The sequence below is a fragment of the Homo sapiens genome, chromosome 5 (genome assembly GCF_000001405.40).
Source record: "Homo sapiens chromosome 5, GRCh38.p14 Primary Assembly".
NCBI lineage: Eukaryota > Metazoa > Chordata > Mammalia > Primates > Hominidae > Homo > Homo sapiens.
Window position 1 is genome coordinate 65,532,541 of NC_000005.10, and position 21,519 is coordinate 65,554,059.

Genomic DNA, 21,519 nt, shown 5'->3' on the forward strand with positions numbered 1-21,519 from the left:
ATTAATATAGTATGGCAAAGTGGGGTTTATCATAGGAATATGCAGTTAAGCAGACAGATAAAATCAATTTTTGTATTTTTAGTAGAGATGGGACGGTGGTGGGTCTTGCCTGTAATCCCAGGACTTTCGGAGGCTGAGGCGGGCAGATCACCTGAGGTAGGGAGTTTGAGACCAGCCTGACCAACATGGAGAAACCCCGTCTCTACTAAAAATACAAAATTAGCCAGGCATGGTGGAGCATGCCTGTAATCCCAGCTACTTGGGAGGCTGAAGCAGGAGAATTGCTTGAACCCAGGAGGTGGAGATTGCAGTGAGCTGAGATCACGCCATTGCACTCCAGCCTGGACAACAAGAGCGAAACTCCATCTCCAAAAAAAAAAAAAAAAAAAAAAAAAATCAATTTTAAAAATCAATCAATGTAATTCACCATATCAATAGATTTAAAAAAGGAGAAAAACATTTAATAACCTCAATAAATTCAGGAAGAGTAAGTGACAAAATTCAATATTAATTTGTGATTTTAAAATAAAAGACTTAGGCCAGGGGCGGTGGCTCATGCCTGTAATCTCAGCACTTTGGGAGGCCGAGGACCTGAGGTTAAGAGTTCAAGACCAGCCTGGCCAAAATGGTGAAACCCCCGTCTCTACTAAAAATACATAAATTAGCCCAAAGCGGTGACAGGTGCCTGTAATCCAAGCTACTGGGAGGCTGAGGCAGGAGAATTGCTTGAACCCAGGAGGCAGAGATTGCAGTGAACTGAGATCGTGCCATTGCACTCCAGCCTGGGTGACAGAGTAAGACCCTGTATCAAAATAAATAAATAAATAAATAAAATAACAAAATAAAATAAGACTTCATAAACTGTAACAGAAGAAAATTTCCGCAATCTGCTTAAAAGTGTCTACGAAAAACCTACTGCTAACATCACACTTAATGGTGAAGGGGCAAATGCTTTCCGATAACATCAGGAACAAGGCAAAGATGTCCATTCTTACCGTTTCTATTCAATATTTTACTGAAGTACAAGTTCTAGGACAGCAAAATAACCCCCCAAAAAGAGATAAAAATTATACAGAAGGGAAAAGATATGTAAAACTGTGTTTGATCTCAGATAATAAGGATGTAGAATAAAAGTTTCTCAAGTTCACTGGATACAAAATCAATATATACATATTAATTGTATTTGTATTTATTAGTAATAAATAAAAATTGAAATTTAAGGCCGGGTGCAGTGCCTCAAGCCTGAAATCCCATCACTTTGGGAGGCCAAGGTGGGCAGATCATGAGGTCAGGAGATCGAGACCATCCTGGCTAAAATGGTGAAACCCCATCTCTACTAAAAATACAAAACAAAATTAGCCAGGCGCACTAGTGGCGGATGCCTGTAGTCCCAGCTACCTGGGAGGCTGAGGCAGGAGAATGGCGTGAACCCGGGAGGTGGAGCTTGCAGTGAGCTCAGATGGCACCACTGCACTCTAGCCTGGGTGACAGAGCGAGACACCGTCTCAACAAAAAAAAAAAAAAAAAAAGGAAAAAGAAAAAAATTGAAATTTAAAAGAATACCATTTAATAGTCAAAATTATGAAATAATAAAGGGATGAACTTGACAAAAGATGTGCAAGACCTGTATGCTGAAAACTACAAAACACTGGTGAGACAAAATGTTTAAATATCAAATAAATGGGGACCTAAATAAATACAAAGATGATACAGTGCTAATGGATCTGCATTCAGACTAAGTATGTTAAAGATAGCAATCTTCCACAAATTAACCTATGATTCAGGGAAATTTCAATCAAAGTTCCAGCTTTTTATGGGGCAGAATGACAAACCAATTCTAAAAGTTACATGGAAATATGAAACAATTTTGAAAAGAACAACAAAGTTAGAGAATTCATAATACTTGATTTCAAGACTTATTTTAAAGCTTTGGTAAAAAACATAATGTGGTATTGGCTTAAAGACAGAAACACAGAACAAAAAAACAGAAATATCCAAAGCACAGAATAGAGAAAAACAGAGTTCAGAAATAGATACACATATACATGGTCATTAATTTTCAACAAAAGTGTAAAGGAAATTCAAAAAAGAAAAGATAGTTTCTTCAACAAATACCGCTGGAACAGTCAGTATCCAAATGAAAACAAATGACCCGATATCACTAACTCATACTATATATACATAAACATTAACTCAAAATGGATCATGAACCTAAATACTGAAACCTAAAACTTAAAAACTTTTAACAGAAAATACAGGAGAATATCTTTGTGATTCTGAGTTGGGCAAACAGTTCTTAGATTTGAGCTCAGACCTTAATAGAAAACTTGATTAAATGGAGTTAATCAAATTATGAACTTAAGTTCTCCAAAACACCACAGAGAAAATGAAAAGAAGTCGGGCACCATGGCTCATGCCTGTAGTTCCAGCACTTTGGGAGGCTGAAGCAGGCAGATCACTTGAGCCCAGGAGTGCATACAAGCCTGGGCAACATTGCAAATCCCATCTCTACAAAAAAATACAAAACTTAGCCAGACATGGTGGTGCACACCCATAGTCCCAGCTACTCAGGAGGCTGAAGTAGGAGAATCCCTTAAGTAGGAGAATCCCTTAAGCCTGAGGTCAAGGTTACAACGAACTGAGATGATGCCACTGCAGTGCAGCCTGAGTGACAGAACAAAACCCTGTCGAGGATGGAAGGGAGGGAGGGAGGGAGGTGAAAAGACAGTTGTGCAGGAAAGAGTTAACTCAGCAGACCTAGACTGCAAAAACCTTGGACATTACTAAAGCCTGTCTTCAGAACTGCCCTTGGTCAGTTCCCTGAAAAAAAGCTCTGAGCCCTTGGAATACTCTACTTGATGAGCATTTTTCTATGTCTAGAACCTTGGGTCACATGGCACCAGCTTGATTAGAGAGTTTATGCTAACTATGTGATTTGTGTTAAATGCATTTTTACTCTATGCGGATGGAGTATACATAGTTAAGGTCAGTTACACAATACCTGACTGACTCCCAATAAAAACCCTAAACAAGGCTCAAGTGAGATTCTCTGGCTGCCAACTCGCCACGTCACACATAGTTGCAGGGAGAATTAAGCGCATCCACACAACTCTACTGGGAAAGAACTCTTGTAAGCTTATCCCATGTGCCTTTTCCTTTGTTCATTGTAATGTTCTCTCTCACTTTAATAAGCTGCAACCAAGAGAACAGCAGTTCTTCTGAGTCCAGTGAGTCTATCCCACAAATCATTGCACCTGAGGGCAGTCTTAGAGAAAACTCTGACACAACTAGCATTACAAATGAGATTTCCTATAACTCCTGCTAGCTGAAACATAAGGAAAGCACTGTTTGAGAAAAGGAAGGATTACAGGGCGGGTAAAGTTTGATGTCAGATGGTTACTGAGTCACCGATGGTATAAAACAACAGCTGCACTGCGATAAGTTACTGTAGGTAGAAGTTACCAGTAAAATATACAATGATAGAACCAGCTCCTGTAGAGCTGGCTCACTGAATATACAACAAAATGTAAAATGAGAAACAAGCTAAATATACAATCCCCTTCTTATTTTTAACTGTAATGAAAAATAGCTAAAATGAAAGTTTTTGGGACAGATGCTGGCACTGCATCAAGTTTGGATTCTGGCCACTCTAAGCTACAGTTGCTAGTTTGGGGTTGCTAAGAGTTGCTATGAAAGGGAAAAATTTTGCTGGATCATCTGCCATGGGTCATTCTAAACTCATTGTGTTGGAAATTTGGTGGATCTTTTTCAATGTAAAGAATCGTTATCTTAGCCAAGCACAGTGGCTCACGCCTGTAATCTCAGCACTTTGGGAGGCCAAGGTGGAAGGACTGCTTGAGACCAGGAATTCAACACCAGCCTTAACAACATAGTGAGATCCCATCTCTACAAAAAACCAAAAATAAAAAATAAAAAAATTAGCCAGGCATGGTGGCACACACCTGTACTCCTAGCTACTTGGGAAGCTAAGGCAGGAAGATCATTTGACCCCAGCAGTTTGAGATGAGACAGCTATAATCTTACTACACTCCAACCGGGGCAACAGAGTAATAACCTGTTTCAAAGAAAAAATATATATATATGTAGGGATTGGGGGGGAGAATAATTATCTTTTATTCTGAGAAAATGTCCATGTATTATTTATTTTATTATTTCTTGCCTTCGATTTTTTAATATTCTGCAACTTATAATGGTAAAATTTCATAATTCGACTTTAGCTTTATTTCTTCTATTATTCCAACTGTCCTTTTTTCCCATTCCTGACCCATTATTTACATTTCCATGACTATAGAAACTTGGTTGCCATTGTGGCAGTGTTAAGAGGTAGGGTCTTTGGGAAGCAATTGGGTCGTGGGGGCTCCACCCTCATGAAGTGATTAATGCCATAATTGCCAGAATAGGTTAGTTGTCATGGGAGTTCAGCCCTGCCGTTTCCTGTCTCTTGTATTCACTTCCACCTTCTATCCTTTTGCTGTGCTATAATACAGTAAGATGGCCTTCCCTCACCAAAAACAGCACCATGCTCTTAGATTCCCAATCTTTTTAAGTTCTGCAGTTAAAAAAAGTTGGAACTTTGTTCTGTTGGAGTTAAAGTGAGAGGAAACATTAATACAGACAAAGAAAAAGGCACATGGGAGAAGCTTACAGGAGTTCTTTCCTAGTAGAGTTGCATAGATGTGCTCAATTCTCCCTACAACTATGTATGAACAAACTTTTTAAATAAACTTTCTCAGCTATAGGTGAATAAACTTGTTTTTTTTTGAGACGGAGTCTCGCTCTGTCATCCAGGCTGGAGTCCAGTAGGGCGATCTCGGCTCACTGCAAGGTCCTCCTCCCGGGTTCACGCCATTCTCCTGCCTCAGCCTCCCAAGTAGGTGGGACTACAGGAACCCGCCACCACGCCCAGCTAATTTTTTTGTATTTTAGTAGAGACGGGGTTTCGCCGTGCTAGCCAGGATGGTCTCTCCTGACCTCGTGATCTGCCCACCTTGGCTTCCCAAAGTGCTAGAATTACAGGTGTGAGCCACCACGCCCGGCCGGTGAATAAACTTTTTAAAAATAAATTATCCAGTCTGTGATGCTCTGCAATAGCAGAAGAAAACAGACTAAGACAGCAGTTTTTTGTGGCGGGCTTTTTTCATTTAGCATGTTTTCAAGGTATATCCATATTTTAGCATGTATCTCCACTTCATTTCTTTTTATTGTCCAATAATGTGTCACTGTTAGGATATATTGCATTTTATTCATTCATTAATTGATGGATATTTGAGGTTGTTTTCCCTTTTTGCCTGTAAGAAAAATGATGCTATGAACATTCATGTGTAACTTTTCGTTTGGATACATACATGTTTTCATTCCTCCTGGGTATATATCCAGGAATGAAACTGCTGCGACATAGAGTTACTCTTTTACCTTTTGAGAAATTTCCACACTGCTTTCTAAAATAGTATACCATTTTACATTGCCACTAGCAATGTATTGCTATTCCAATTTTTGTACTTCTTTACCAACCCATGTTATTGTCTGTTGATTATAGCCATCCTAGACGGTGTAAAGTGGTCCTTTTTAAAAAAAATGGCATTGTTATTTTGTGGGATCAAAATTTTTTCTTATCCTGTGGATGGTATTATTTCTTTAAATTCTCGTTGGTTCCCTGAAGTGTCTCTCCTTGAGGCTCATCTTTGTTCAGTTGTTTTGAACTTCTGTCTTTCAACTTGGAGACATTTCACAGATGTGTATGATCCTTGTCTGGACATTCCTATTTAAAACTCAAAAACTTACTATGAATGCTATGTTTATGAATAAGGCTTTATGATGTGTGGCCACCCTACTTTTTCACTGGGGACTCCATATATTATTACTTAGAAATATTTTCTTTTCAAAATATTTTATCTCCTGTCTAAGGCTATGTTCTTTTTTGATTAGCAATTTCTTTAAGTCATTTTTCTCTTCTCACTTTTACTATACATTCAAGAGAAGCCAAGCCATACCTTCAACACTTCGTTTAAATATTTTCTCAGCGAAAGATTCAACTTCATTCCTCGTAAGTTTTATTTTTCATAAATAAAATAAAAAACTAGGGACCTCTGCAGACAGAGCGATGGAGGGAACTAGCAGTACACCATGCAGAATAAAAATGTTAACTTGATCTTTCTGACTTTCGACCTGCACACCACCCCTATTAACCACCCAACCTGGTATCCCTGAGTCAAGAGCCTCACTAGTTTAATGTCTCCATATCATATACTTCCGGTTCTCAGATATATAGGTAAGAAGTTAGCAACAGTAAGCTAAGAAGATTTAACCATCTATATTCTGACTTTAAAGAAATAGCCTTGATTTTAGCTCCACACTTGAACTCTGAGTTTTGCAGTAACAGGTTCCTTCAAATCCCAAGACTTTCTTCAATTTTGTGGGGGCAAACTCTTTTCATCATGATTTCTGTCTCTAGGCACATACTTACCTCTTTCCATGCTCTACAACTTGTAAAAGTTTCTGTTTGCTTCCATCTTCTCTTCTATATTTTAACCTTATGAACTGACACTTTAAAAACATGACATTATTGACATTTAAGTTTTGAGAAAGTGTCTATGATCCTTGTCTGGACATTCATATTTAAAACTCGAAAATTCAGGTCTTCCTCACATGCAAAAATACATTCATTCCATCCCAATAGCCACAAAAGTCTTAACTTATTCTACCAGCAACTCAAAGGTTTGAAGTCTAACATCTCATCTAAATATGATTTAAATTAAATGAATAAAATTCACAGTACAATAGATTTTGAAGCAAATTGATCTCCAACTGTGAACTTGTGAAATCAAACATGTTATGGGCTTCAAAAATACAATGGTGGGAGCGACATAGGATAGACATTCCTATTCCAAAAGAACGAAATAGGAAAGAAGGGGTAACATGTCCCAATTAACTCCCAACACAATAGGGTAAACATTAAATCTTAAGGCCCAAGAATAATCTTTGGTTCAATGCTGTCTTCAAGGCCCACTAGGGTGCAGGTGGCTCTGCCCCTGCAGCTTTGCTGAGCAGGTGTTTGGGGACCCACAGCTCTGAGCATCCTTGTTCCCACAGCTTGGCAAAATGGCCCTCTAGCAGCTCTCTGTCTGTGCTTCACTCACAGTATCGCTGTGCCTGGGCACCATGGCTCTCCTGGACTGAGGTCATAAGCTCAAGGCTCTGCCAGGAGGCTCCTTCCTTTAAAACCCAGGTGGAACCAGCCATTTCCCCTGGCTTGCACTTTCTGCACCCTGGAGGAGATATGACCCTCCAGAAGGGTGATCACTGCAGTCTCTGCCACACCTAGACACACTGAAGCTGCACCTGGGGCAACTGATGAACACAGTCTAAGTATAGGAAGCAGAGAATGAGTTCATGCTAGGCAGTATGGCCCAAGGTCCCACAGACTCCTGTAGCCCTTACATTGCATTCTTCCATTGTCTTGAACAACAGCACCTGGCTTCAGTTGAGATGGCTGACTAATCTCCTTATCAGATGGTCATTTGGCCACACCCTTTAAGTTCTTTCCCAAACAGCCTTTCTCATTCTTTACAGTAGGGATAGGCTGACAATTTTTCAAACATTTAAATTCAGCTTCATTTTTTATTAGCAATTTAAGTCATTTTTAACTTCCCACATTTTACTATACAGTCAAGAGAAGCCAAGCCATACCTTCAATACTTTTCTTAAATATTTCCTCAAAGATTCAACTTCATTCCTATAAGTTCTATCTTTCACAAAACACTAGGGCAGGAATGCAATTCAGCTCTCTGCCTCTTTATAATAAGAATGATATTTACTCCACTGTGCAATAACATTGTGATATTGTAAAATATATATTTGGTCTTTATCCCTATTGTGGTATCTTTTCATATGCATGAGTTGACTGATGGCTGGGAGCCCCTCAGTAACATCAGGATGGGGGCTGGTCATAAAAAAAGACCAAAACCTGACTAGAACATTAGGACTTTCAGCACCACCCCTGAAAACTCTGGGAAGGGAGAAGAACTGAGAGTTAAGCTGGTCATCAATGGCAAATGACTTAATCAATCGTACCTACATAATGAAGCTTCCATAAAACCCCAAAAGAACTGGGTTTGGGGAGCTTCTAGATAGCTGAACACAGGCAAGTTTCTGGAGAGTACCATGTCCAGAGATGGCATGGAAACTCCATGTCCCTTCCACCATGACTTGCCCTACACATCTTTTCCATTTGGCTGTTCAACTGTATCCTTTTTTTTTTTTTTTTTGAGACAGGGTTTCACTCTGCTGCCCAGGCTGGAAGGCAGTGACGCGATCATGGCTCACTGCAGCCTCAACCTCCCAGGCTCAAGCAATCCTCCCACCTCAGCCTTCCAAGTATCTGGGACTACAGGCACACACCATCACACACACACCACCACACACAGAAGATTTTTTATTTTTTTTGTAGGGACAGGCTTTTGCCATATTGCCCAGGCTGGTCTTGAACACTTAGGCTCAAGTGATCCATCCTCTTCAGATTCCCAAAGTGCTGGGATTACAGGTGTGAGCCACCATGCCCAGCCATGTATCCTTTGTAATATCTCTTATGACACCTGAGTAAATGAAAGTAAGTTTATCTCTCAGTTCTGTGAGCTGCTCTGGCAAATTAATTAAACCTGAGGAGGAGGGGATCATGGAAACCCCTGATTTATAGCCAGTCAGAATACAGGCGACAATCCATTACTGGCAACTGGTATCTGAAACCGGGGTCAGGCATGTGGGACTGAGCGCTCAACCTGTGGGATCTGATGTTACCTCCAAGTAGATTATGTCAGAACTGAAGTGAATTAAGAGGACACCCAACTGGTTTGTAGGAGAGAATCATCATCTGCAGAATCTGCCAAAGAATTGGTTGCTGGTGAGAATTCCCCACACATTTTGGTAACCAGAGGTGCTACGTTGTATTGAGTGGTGACGGAGACTAGGAAAAACACTTTGTTTTTTTCCTCTCTATCCTTAGACACATGTTCTTTCTTTCCAGGTGAGACCTATCAAAATGGCCAATACTGTGCATATTTCTACCAACATTCTTTTCAGGACTATTCTGGTATTATCTAAGAAAACTGAGGCTTTCTCTACAGCTCTCTTATAACCTCAGTTCCCACCAGAATCGCCTTTAAAGGTCTGCTCACAGCAATGTAGGCCTTTGCACTCATTTCAAAATTCTTCCTTCTACTACTGATCACCCAGTTTCAAAGGTGCTTCAGAATTTTTTGGTATTTGTTATATAGTACCACCTCCACTTCTCAGTGCCAACTTTCTGTCATAGTCCATTCAGTCTCCTATAACAAAATACTACAGACTGGAGATCTTATAAAAATTTATTTCTCACAATTCTGGCAGCTAGGAAGTCCAAGATTCAATGTCTACTGAGGGCTCACCTCTTCACAGACAGTACCTTCTAGTTGTGTCCTCACAAGATGGAAGGGGAGGACACTGGTCTCTTCAGACGTTTATAAGGGCATTAATTTCATTTATGAAGGCCCTACACTCAGCACCTAATCACCTCCCAAAGGTCTCACCTCCTAATATCATCACACTGGGGAATAGATTTCAACGTATGGATTTTGGGAGACACAAATATTTAGTCCACAGCAGAAGGAGAGATGTATGTATGGGGTCATTAAGCGATGTTTAATATTTTGCTTTTATTGTGAAGTTTAACTAAAAACTAGATATGAGATTAAGGTTTACATATAACCACTAACTTCAGTAATAGTTCTGATGCAAAAACCGAGTTCAAAATTCAAATCTTTAGGCCAGGTGTGGTGGCTTACGCCTGTAATCCCAGCACTTTGGGAGACTGAGGCGGGCAGATCACGAAGTCAGGAGTTCAAGACCAGCCTGGCTAGCATACTGAAATCCCGTCTCTACTAAAAATACAAAAATTAGCCGGGCATGGTGGTGCATGCCTGTAATCCTAGCTACTCGGGAGGCTGAGGCAGGAGACTCACCTGACCCTGGGAGGCAGAGGTTACAGTGAGCCAGGATTGTGCCACTGCATTCCAGACTGGGCAACAGAGCGAGACTCCGTTTCCAAAAAAAAAAAATCAAATATTATGTTCAATAAAACATAAATAAAAGCAGAAAATTTAATATGGTTTTAGAGTGGTTTTATCCTATTTCTTATGCCATGAACTTATCTAAAATAGATCTAGTTAGAAATTATTTGGGGTCACTACAAATTCATTGAGTGGCTTACCTCTTCTTTTCCTAATGTTATGAGAACGTCTTCAGTCAAGGGAATTGCTACAAAAACAAAACAAAACAAAGTTACACATATATTTAGTTAATTCTCAAAAATCAAGAATTTAATTTTGCGGTTTTCTAAGATACTTCTTTCCATCTCCATTTATATAATATACAACTTTTTCTCCCCTCCAAGGCAGAGTTTCCCTCTTGTCACCCAGGCTGCAGTGCAATGGCGCTATTTGGCTCACTGCAACCTCCACCTCCCTGGTTCAAACAATTCTCGTGCTTCAGCCTCCTGAGTAGCTGGGATTACAGGCATCCACCAACATGCCTGGCTAATTTTTGTGTTTTTAGTAGAGATGGGATTTCATCATGTTGGCCAAGCCAGTCTTGAACTCCTGACCTCAAGTGATCCACCTGCCTTGACAATACACAACTTTTTACGAAATGTGTGCAGTTTTCATTTTATTTATTTTTAACATCTTTGCACATATAGCCAACTATATATAATTTTAGATAAATTTGATCCTATTTATGTACTGTTTAGTGCCTTTTTCTTTTCTTCTTTTGTTCTTCAAACCCTCAAAAGGGAAGCTAATAATCTATAGTGTGTTCCTCAAATACTTTCCCTGTAGTCATATATCCTATGTACACATATGTAACATACATTTACATACACTTAAAAGGGTTATTTTTATCATCATTGGTTTTACAAGAATGGGGTCATATCACACATATTATATTCATCTTACTTTCACTCAATAAAACCCCCAGGGAAACCTAGACCTATATAGGTCTAATTCATAACTTTTAATGGCTGCATGATATTCCAAAATGAATATACCATAATATACTGAGTGATTGCCCTCTTGATTGAACACTTTTAGATTAACTTTGTGTCTAGTTTCTAGTCATAACAAACAAGGATGCAGTAAGCAGACTTTTATACACGTTTTTATGTACTGGTGCTCTCATTTCTATAGAACAGATTCTCAGAAATGAAATTTCAGAGAATGAAATGTGTACTTTGAATCTGAATAGAGAATGTCAGCTTCCTTTCTAAAGACATTTCCATGAGCTATGAAGAAAAAACAGCAAGAAATATTACAAACTCTTCTAAAATTTTTGCCAGCCTGATGAGTAGAAACAAATGTGTAATTTTGTATAGCAAATTTTAATGCGTTCAATCCTTATGCTAGAAATTTTCCTTTACTAATGAAGAGCTATTTGAAACTTCTCAAATAGTAGGCTACTGAAAACTTTCAAAGGTATCTGCTATTCTAGAAAGCCTTCTAACAGGGAAGAACTTTCTACATGTGCTTCATAGATAGGTTTGTATTAGAATATTCAGTGCCTTGGAAGGGTTTGCTCTCTGCTTCCAAGATGGTGTCTTCTTGCTGTGTCCTCACATAGTGGAAGGCAAAAGGGGAAAAAAAGACTAGATACTACCTTCAACCTCTATAAGAAGCTCACTAATCACATCCTAAAGACCTCACTTTTTAACACTATCATAATGGTGATTAAGTTTTAACATGAATTTTGGGGGATATATTTAGGCCACAGCAGACAGCTACTATCAAAAAAACAGAAAGTAACAAGTGTTAACAAGGATGTTGAGAAACTGAAACCATGTGCACTGTCGGTGGGATTGAAATATGGTGTGACCATTATGGAAAATAGTATAGGTGGTTCCTCAAAAAACTTAAAATAGAACTATCATATGATCCACTATTTCTGGTAGACATCCAAAAGAATTGAACGCAGGGCCTCAAAGAGAACTGCACATCCATGTTCATGGCAGCACTCACATTCACAGTAATGAAATTATGAAGCAACCGAAGTTTCCGTTGACAGATGAATGGATAAGCAAACTGTGGTATATACATACAATGAAATACTATTCAGCCTTAAAAAAGGAAGGAAATTCTAACGTGCTACAACATGGAAGAACTTTGAGGACATTACACTAACTAAAATAAGCCACCCACAAAAACACAAATACTATATGATTCCATTATATGAGGTATCTAAACTAATCAAATTAATAGAAAGTAGAATTGAGGTTGCCAGGGCTGGGGGATGATGGAAAAGGAGAGTTGTTGTTTAATGTGTATAGAGTTTCAGATTTGCAAGATGAAAAAGTTCTGAAGATACACTGCATAAAAATGTGAATGTACTTAACACTACTGTGAACTATACACTTAAAAATGGTTAAAATTGTAAATTTTATATTTTACCACAATTAAAAAATTTTCTTTAAACTAAACAAAACCTGAGGGACTTGGGTAACCGTAACAAAAGGTCTAACATTCATGTTATCGGAATTCCAGGAAAGGAGAAAGGTGGGGGGAGTTGCTGAAAAAATACATCAAATGATAGCTAAAAAGTTCTCAAATTCTGCAAAAGACATAAATCCACACATTCAGGAATCTGAGTGACTCCTAAGTAAGATAAAGCCAAAGAAATCCAGGTTAAGGTACAACATAATTATTCTTCTAAAGGCTGAAGACAAAGAAAAAGTCCTCAAAGCGCGCACACACACACACACACACACACACACACACACACACACACACACACACACACACACGCCTTCTCTATAAAGCAAAACCGATCAGAATGACAGCACATTTCTCATCAGTACCAAGGGAGGCAGAGGTAAGTGGCACATTTTTAAGTGCTAAAAGAAAACAACCCTGAATTGCACATCCAGTGAAAATATCCTTCAGGAATGAAAGAGAAATCAAGAAATTCTCAGATAAAGAAAAACTACGACAATTTGTCACCAGCAGACCAACTCTAAAAGAACGGCTCAAGGAAGTTCTTGAAACAGAAACAATAAAAGGAATTTTAGAAGATCAGGAAGGAAGAACAATAGAAAGAACAAAAACATGGACTAAAGCTACCATAAATCCTACAGTCACAAGGAAATAAATTCTGCCAACAACTTCAGTAAGCTTGGAGATGGATCCCTCCTCAAGCCTTTGAGGAGAATCTATCATTGCAGCCATGAAATCCCTAAGCAGACGACCCAGTTAAGCTGTGTCCAGACTCCTATCTGCAGAAACTGGGAAATAATAAATGTCCTCAGACCCCTGAACTACAGAAATTGTGAGATAATAAATGTATGTTATATAAAGCCACTCCAAAAAAGCCTAAAACAAGATTGAGAAAATGTTGATAACTGTAGAATCTGGTCTCTGAGTTTACTACAGTTAACTCTCTATATATGTATTTTTTAACTTTTCTTTAAGTTTGAAAACTTCTATCATTGCCAGGGTGGGGGAAACCCATTGAGGCCAAGAGATTAAAAAGTCTGTTATAATAATCTAATGGACTGGTGATGAAAACCCGAAGTAAATCTGTGACAGTAGGACTCGATATTTAGTAACTAGTTATATGTTCTAGTTCTAATGTTTTTGTTCTATTCTCCCCTGCCCCCCCGCTCAGGTGATCCACCAGCCCTGGCCTCCCAAAGTGCTGGGATTACAGACGTGAGCCACCACACCCGGCTGTTCTAATTTTAACAAATATGCTGTATGTGCAAAATGAAAAAGAATCTAGGAGGACTCTTAAATTGGGAGCTGATCAAATATGCTCCATTCAATGAGTGAGGAAACAGAAAAGGTCAGTTCATGAATCTGAGGTGTCTATGAAATATTTTGGAAAAGGTGCCTAGGAGGTACAAAGATACTTGAGTTTGATATTGCAGAGAAGTCTGCTTTAAATATATAGATTTGTAAATTGTTATTGGTTGATGTGTCCCCACCCCCAAATTCCTATGTTGAAATCCTAATCCCCAATACCTTTGAATATGACTGTATTTGGAATTGGGTATTTCAAGAGATAATTAAGTTAAAATTAGGTTATTAGAGTTGACCCTAATCCAATAAGACTGGTGTCCTAATAAGAGTAGGCGATTAGGACACAGAAGGAAGACCATGTGAAGACACAGGAAGAAGATGGACATCTGCAAGCCAAGGGGAGAGGCCTCAGAAGAAACCAACGTTATTGACACCTTGATCTTTAACTTGTATCTTCCAGAATTGTGAGAAAATTAATTTCTGTTGTTTAAGCCACCTAGTCCATAGTAGTTTGTTATGATAGCTCTAGTATACTAATATGGAAGTTATTATTATAGATATAACACATAAAAACAGAAGAAGATATAATGCTGGTATAGTATATAGTGTCCTCTGGAGAATATGAACATATGGAAGTTATTATTACAGATATAACACATAAAAACAGGAGAAGAAGATATAATGCTGGTATAGCTTATAGGGTCCTCTGGAGAACTTGAACATTTTAATATTTGAGGCTGGGCGTGGTGGCTCATACCTGTAATCCCAAAACTTTGGGAGGCTGACGCAGGAGGATCACCTGAGGTCAAGAGTTTGAGATCAGCCTGGCCAACATGGCAAAACCCCGTCTCTACTACAAATACAAAAATTAGCCAGGCATGATGGCAGGCACCTGTAATCCCAGCTACTCGGGAGACTGAGGCACAAGAACTGCTTGAACCTGGAAGACAGAGCTTGCAGTGAGCCGAGATTGCACCACTGCACTCCAGCCTGGGCGACAGAGTAAGACTGTCTCAAAAAAAAAAAAAAAAAATTTTGAGTATGAGCAGTTTTTGAGATGCTAAATATACTACTAAAAAGGCAATAAGACATACGGTTGAAGACAAATTAAAATCACAATTGTAATACTACACACCTATTAGAAATGCTCAAATTAATGACTAACAGGTAGTAACAACGATGTGGAAAAATGGCTGACATTGGCATGAAGACAGTCATTAAAGCAAGAATATGGATAAAATTGTATAGGAAGAGAATGAGGAGAAAACAGCTGAAGATTGCTCCTTGGGGAATTTCTTTTTTTTTTTGAAATGGAGTCTCGCCCTGTTGCCCAGGCAGGAGTGCAGTGGCATGATCTCGGCTCACAGCAAGCCCTGCCTCCTTGGTTCATGCCATTCTCCTGCCTCAGCATCCCAAGTAGCTGGGACTGCAGGCGCCCACCACAACACCTGGCAAATTTTTTATATTTTTAGTAGAGATGGGGTTTCACCGTGTTAGCCAGGATGGTCTCGATCTCCTGACCTCATGATCCACCCGCCTCGGTCTCCCAAAGTGCTGGGATTACAGGCATGAGCCACAGCGCCCAGCCTGGGGAATTTCAATAATTGGGAAAGAGAAATGATAAGCCTACAAAGAAGACTAAGAAGGGAAGCATGGGGTGGAGAACAATTAAAGGAAAGAAAACAGAGCGGGAGAAGAAAGAAGCAGGAAGACATACAGAAAAAGAGGGTACAATCCAAATAGAATATCATATGCAGGGATACTTTGGAGATAGTCCAAGTTTGGTTCTAGACCACCACACTAAAGCAAATATCACAACAAAACAAGTCACACAAATTTTTTGTTTTCCCAGTGCATATAAAAGTTGTTTACATTATACTGTAGTCTATTAAATTATGTATTAGCATTATTTCTAAAAATGTACATACCTTATTTTAAAAAAAACCTTATTGCTAAAAATTGCTAACTGAGATGCCTAATCTGAGCCTTCGGTGAGTTGTAATGTTTTGCTGGTGGAAGGCCTTATCTCAGTGTTAATGGCTGATGACTGATCAGGTTAGTGGCTACTGAAGGTTGGGGTGGCTGTGGCCGTTTCTTAAAATAAGACAGCAATGAAGTTTGCCACACCGATTGACTCTTCGTTTCACAAAAACATTTCTCGGTGGCATGAGATGCTGTTTGATAGCATTTTACCCACAGCAGAACTTCTTTCAAAATTAGTCACTCCTCTCAAACCCTGACGCTGCCTTACCAACAAAGTTTATGTAATATTCTAAATCTTTTGTTGTCATTTCAACCGTGTTCAAAGCATCTTCACTGGGAGTAGATTCCATCTCAAGAAACCACTTTTTTGCTCATCCATGGGAAGCAACTCCTCATCTGTTCAAGTTTTATCATGAGATTGCAGTCATTCAGCCACATTTTCAGACTCCACTTCTAATTCTAGTTAGATACTTCTACCACATTTGTAGTTACTTGAACCCCTCAGAGTCATCCATGAGGGTTAGAACCAACCTCTTGCACACTCCTGTTAATGTTGTTATTTTGACCTCCTTCCATAAATCACACATGTTCTTAATGGCATCTAGAATGGGGGATACTTTCCAGAAGGTTTCAATGTACTTTGGCCCAGACCATCAGAGGACTTATGACAGCTATAGCCTTACGAAGTGTATTTCTTAAATAATAAGACTTCAGTTGAGGTGGCTTCTTGGTCCCTGGGCGGCAGAACAGATGTTGCATCAACAGACATGAGAACATTAAATTCCTTGTACATCACCATCAGAGCTGTTGAGTGAAGAGATGGGGAGCAGTAATATTTTGAAAGGAATCTTTTTTTTTTTCCTGAGTGGTAGGTCTCAACAGTGGGCTTAAACTATTCAGTAAACCATGCTATAAACAGGTGTACTGTCATCCAGGCTTTACTGTTCCATTTACAATGCACAGGCAGAGTAGATTTGGTATAATTCTTAAGGGCCCTAGGATTGCTGGAATGATAAATGAGTGTTGGTTTTAACTCAGAGTCACCAGCTGCACTAGTCCTTATCAAGAGAGTCAACCTGTCCTTTTGAAGCTTTGGAGCCAGGCATCAACTTCTCTCTAACTATAAGAGTCCTAGATGGCATCTTCTTCCAATAGAGGGCTGTTCTGTCTACATTGAAAATTTGCTGTTTATCATAGCCACCTTCAAGTATCTTAGCTAGATCTTCTGGATAACTTGTTGACGCTTCTGCCTCAGTACTTGCTGCTTCCCCTTGCATTTTTATGTTATGGAGATGGCTTCTTTCCTTAAACCTCATGAACCAACCTCTGCTAGCTTCACACTTTTCTTCTGCAGCTTCCTCATCTCTCTCAGCCTTTGTAGAATTGAAAAGAGCTAGGGCTTTGTTGTGGATTACGCTTTGGCTTAGGGAATGATGGCTGGTTTGATCATCTAAGTAGACTAGTAAAACTTTCTCTATAACAGCAATAAGGCTATTCTGTTTTCTCATAATTTGTGTGTTCACTAGAGCAACATCTTTAATTTCCTTTAAAAATTTTTCCTGCACTTTGGGAGACTGAAGCAGGTGGACCACGAGGTTAGGAGATCAAGACCATCCTGGCCAACATGGTGAAACCTGTCTCTAATAAAAAAATACAAAAATTAGCTGGGTGTGGTAGCATGCACCTGCAATCCCAGCTACTTGGGATGCTGACATAGGAGAATCACTTGAACCCAGGAGGCAGAGACTGCACTGAGCCGAGATCACACCACTGCACTCCAGCCTGAGGGCAGTGCAACAGAGCAAGACTCCATCTCAAAAAAAAAAAAAAAAAAAAAAAAATTTTCCTTTCCATTCACAACTTGGCTAACTGGTGCCGGAGGCCTAGCTTTTGGCCTATCTTGGCTTCTGACATGCCTTCCTCATGAAACTTAATCATTTCTAGCTTTTAATTTAAAGTTATCGATGTGCAACTCTTCTTTTCACTTAAAAACTTAGAAACAATTGGAGGGTTATTAATTGGCCTAAATTCAATATTCTTGTGTTTTAAGGAAAAGGGAGGGCCAAGGAGAGGGAGAGAGATGGGGGAACAACTGGTCAGCAGAGCAGTCAGAATACACACAACATTTATTGGTTAAATTTACTGTCTTACACAGGTGCAGCTTGTGGTTCCTCAAAACAATTAAAATAGTAAGATCAAAGACCACTGATCACAGATCCCCCAACCAGATGTAATAATGACTTAAAAGTCTAAAATACTGTGAGATTACCAAAATGTGACACAGGCTCGCCACAAACTGAATTTGTTAAACATAGAGTGTCTGCAAAGTGCAATAAAGTGAAGCACAATAAAATGAGATGTGCCTGTATAGATGTATATTGCATAGAGAAACTTAAGCTCTCACATTTAAAAAAAAAAGATGTACTAGTGGAGTATCACAATTATAAATTTTTATGCTGTCTTCTACTTCCTAACTGAAGACAAAAACATAGTTGGCACCAGCTGGACAAGACAGAAGACATACAAACTATGTGTCCCTTTTGTGTAAGTATCTAAAATAAATTATAACTTTTCTCTTCCACTAGGTAAATTGCATTCATTAAGAAACAAATCACTGGCACGCCAGTAATCCAGGCACTTTGAGAGGCCAAGGCAGGAGGATCCCTTGAGCCCAGGAGTTCAAGACCAGCCTGGGTAACATGGTGAAACCCCGTCTCTACAAAAAAATACAAAAACCAACCACTAACCAAGCATGGTGGCACACACTTGTAGTCCTAGCTACTCAGGAGGCTGAGGTAGGAGGATCACTTGAACCCGGGAGATCGGGGCTGCAATGAGCCATGATTGTGCCACTGTACTCCAGCCTGGACAACACGATGAGACCCTGTCTCAAAAAAAAAAAAAAAAAAAAAAAGGAACAATTTACCATTTCTAGCGAGCATAAGGCAGTGTCTATGAGGATAACATAATAGCTATAATAACGTCTCCATAATCAAGCTTATTATAATCTAATGTAAGATATGTTTATCAATAATAATAAAAGAAGTACAAAATAATTCACAGAAAAAAAGTGGCTTCTCGGTATCAATGAAATTTGGGCAATTTCAAAAAGGCCAAATGGATCTTGTAATTTTTCCTACAATTATTAAATTAATTTGCTATTAATAGGTTTACAAAAAATTCAAATTTAAAATAAGAATCTTACTTTCAGGTGTTTTTTTCTGCCATTGACTGAGTTCAGCGGTTAAACATTTTACTTGCATAATTAACAATGATAGCTACAAAAGAAGAAAACAAAGTCATTTTCTGTGGACTATTCATACCTATTCATAGATGAAAATATAAACATTCTTAATATTTTAAAACTTTGCAGGGGGGTGGCATCCCTAACTCTCACGCTGCTCCAGAGGCAACTTTATTTTAATTCTTAATCTGTTTCACTGATCCACTGATCTATTCCTACAGCAATTCCATAATTCTGATTATTATAATGAATGTCAGTCCTTTTTTTAGGCCAAGAGTAAAATCAATTCAGATTCGACACAGATAGTAAAATATCTGTGACTATTATACCTAACACAAAGTTAGCCGCCTTTGTTCTATTTTTTTTTTTTTTTTTTTGAGACAGTCTTACTCTTTCGCCCAGGCTGGAGTATAATGGCACAATCTCAGCTCACTGCGGCCTCCATCTACTGGGTTCAAGTGATTCTCACGCCTCAGCCTCCTGAGTAGCTGGGATCATATGACCACATCACCAAGACCAGCTAATTTTTTTGTACTTTGGTAGCGACGGGGTTTTGCCATGTAGGCCAGGCTGGTCTTTGTTCTAATTTTAACAAGGCAGCGTAATAGCAACTAACAAGCAATTTACTCAGTTGTTAAATATATGTATAGTTGCTAAAAGACAAATAATAAAGAAAATACTCTCTTATTTATAATAGCTTGTTCTAGAAAGTTTTTAGAATATTCTTTCAATTCTTAAAGCAGGAAGAGTAAGAAGTTTTCCAAATGATTAAGCATACAGGTATTAACAAAGGTATTAAACTTGAGAAAAATACAGACACACATATTTATTTTCCAAAATACAATTAATTCCACTTACCTTGTATTTTTTAGGAAGAAAAAGATTCATACCTGAGCATTTGAATCGGTGAGTGTTTCAGTTCCAATAAGTGATAATTTATTCTGACACTTGATTTAAAAAGTAAAAAAAGGCAAGTCACACACGATAATTCACAGAAAATTCCCTTCCCCTCTCCTTTTCTACCAGGCCAATATAACACTCTTCTAAAGCACAAACATCTGATGGAGAAGAGTTTATTGAAATTCCTCACTATGTAAGACGATTAAGGCAGCCAAACAAGTCCCAAGGTGAATACATCACAAGTAAAAAGAGACACTAGAATGAAGAGGAAAAAAAAAAACCCAAAAACTAATAGCTAGAATGAATTATAAGTCAGATAATTGGAAAGTGGGAGATAAAAAAATAAGAGGGAAAGCACTATAGAAAAATAACAAGTAAGAAGATAGTTCAGATCCTAAGAAATCCTAAGAAAATAAATAAAGCCTTCAGGAGACATTGTTTCTGTGCCATTAAAAAAGTCCAAAACTGTTCATGATGATTATATGAGATAAAAATACGAGTAAATTCTATTTCTGCTCATTTGTAATGCAGCATTTCTCTATACAAATTTTAAGTCATTTTAAAATCCAAACTTCTATACTGAAAAAATACCTGAAGCAAAAAATAAAAAGGTGGGGGGATTATAAAAATTATCCTGAAAATACATTAATAATATAAAGTACCAAGTATTTATGTTAAAAATAATTGTAAGAAAAGAGAAAAACCTCACTAATTTGACCAGTTCTGAAACTTTACTGGGAAGAATAGGATGCTAAAAATATCTGTGCCCTATCTTTTGGCTTCCCTGAACTACACTGGAAGAAGAAGAATTATCTTGGGCCACACATAAAATACATTAACAATAGCTGATCAGCCAAAAAAAAAAAAGAAATCGAAATCCATAATGCTTTAAGAAAGTTTGTGTCGTGCTGCATTCAAAGCCATCCTGGGCCGCAGGTTGGACAAGCTTGCCTTAAGTAGAACAAATTTTCACCAACATACTCTAGTGTACCAAAGGCAGTTCTATCTCACCAACTTAGAAAAAGTACATATATTTCAAACAACATTTTCTAAATTAATTAATGTTTTCACTCATAATTATGTGTTCTTCCCACTTCTATATTCTCTATTTGGGGAAATAATCCCATCAACCACCCAACGGCCCAAACCAGGAACCTGAAACTAACCATATTTCCCTCCCATTGCACATAAATTAACTTCTAATCCTACCTACTTATCTTTGAATCCACTCTTCTATTTGCAGTGGCAATACTTAGGGCTTCCTTACTTTTTACCAGGACTATTACTAGAGCTTCCTAAATGCTTTCTATCTGTAGTCTTACTCTTCTGCATTCTATTTTCTTCAAAAACACCAGAGTAATTTTCCCAAACCGCATATCTGATCATGTCACTTCCATACTTAAAATCTTTTAATGGCTCCCCATAGTACACACTCAACAAAATCCTTTATGTTCTGGTCCCTGATTACTTCTCCAGTCTTACCCCAGAAGTCCTTCTCCTAATTTACATTATCCATAACATTCTATTTAATGTTCTGTCAACTCTCTGTTTTTACAC

General features: G+C 38.5%; 1 protein-coding gene across 33 annotated transcripts in view, besides 1 other annotated feature; it reads right to left on the reverse strand.

Annotated features, from left to right (window-relative positions):
• The window catches only part of CENPK (centromere protein K), a 67,545-nt gene that overhangs the window by 36,917 nt on the left and 9,109 nt on the right, over positions 1-21,519 (reverse strand). For 28 of the 33 annotated variants that reach the window (XR_007058619.1, XR_007058618.1, XR_007058617.1 and 25 more), the window contains 3 exons: positions 19,953-20,009; positions 19,024-19,096; positions 10,262-10,308 (listed from right to left, as the gene is read on the reverse strand). Coding sequence is in view for 26 of the 33 variants with exons in the window: in XM_017009696.3 (XP_016865185.1) it covers positions 10,262-10,308; positions 19,024-19,096; positions 19,953-20,009 (177 nt within the window). In the remaining 7 variants the exon portion in view is untranslated. Of the gene's footprint in view, positions 1-10,261; positions 10,309-18,565; positions 18,661-19,023; positions 19,097-19,952; positions 20,010-21,519 lie in introns of those variants that run through there. The other 5 variants (XM_024446148.2, XM_011543541.3, XM_024446145.2 and 2 more) reach the window with 2 other exon arrangements.
• Positions 21,269-21,469: a silencer, noted in NCBI's record as "peak5269 fragment used in MPRA reporter construct". NCBI's record gives its function as "represses an SCP1 promoter by STARR-seq MPRAs in K562 erythroleukemia cells {active_cell/tissue: K562}" and the evidence as "EXISTENCE:reporter gene assay evidence [ECO:0000049][PMID:32103011]".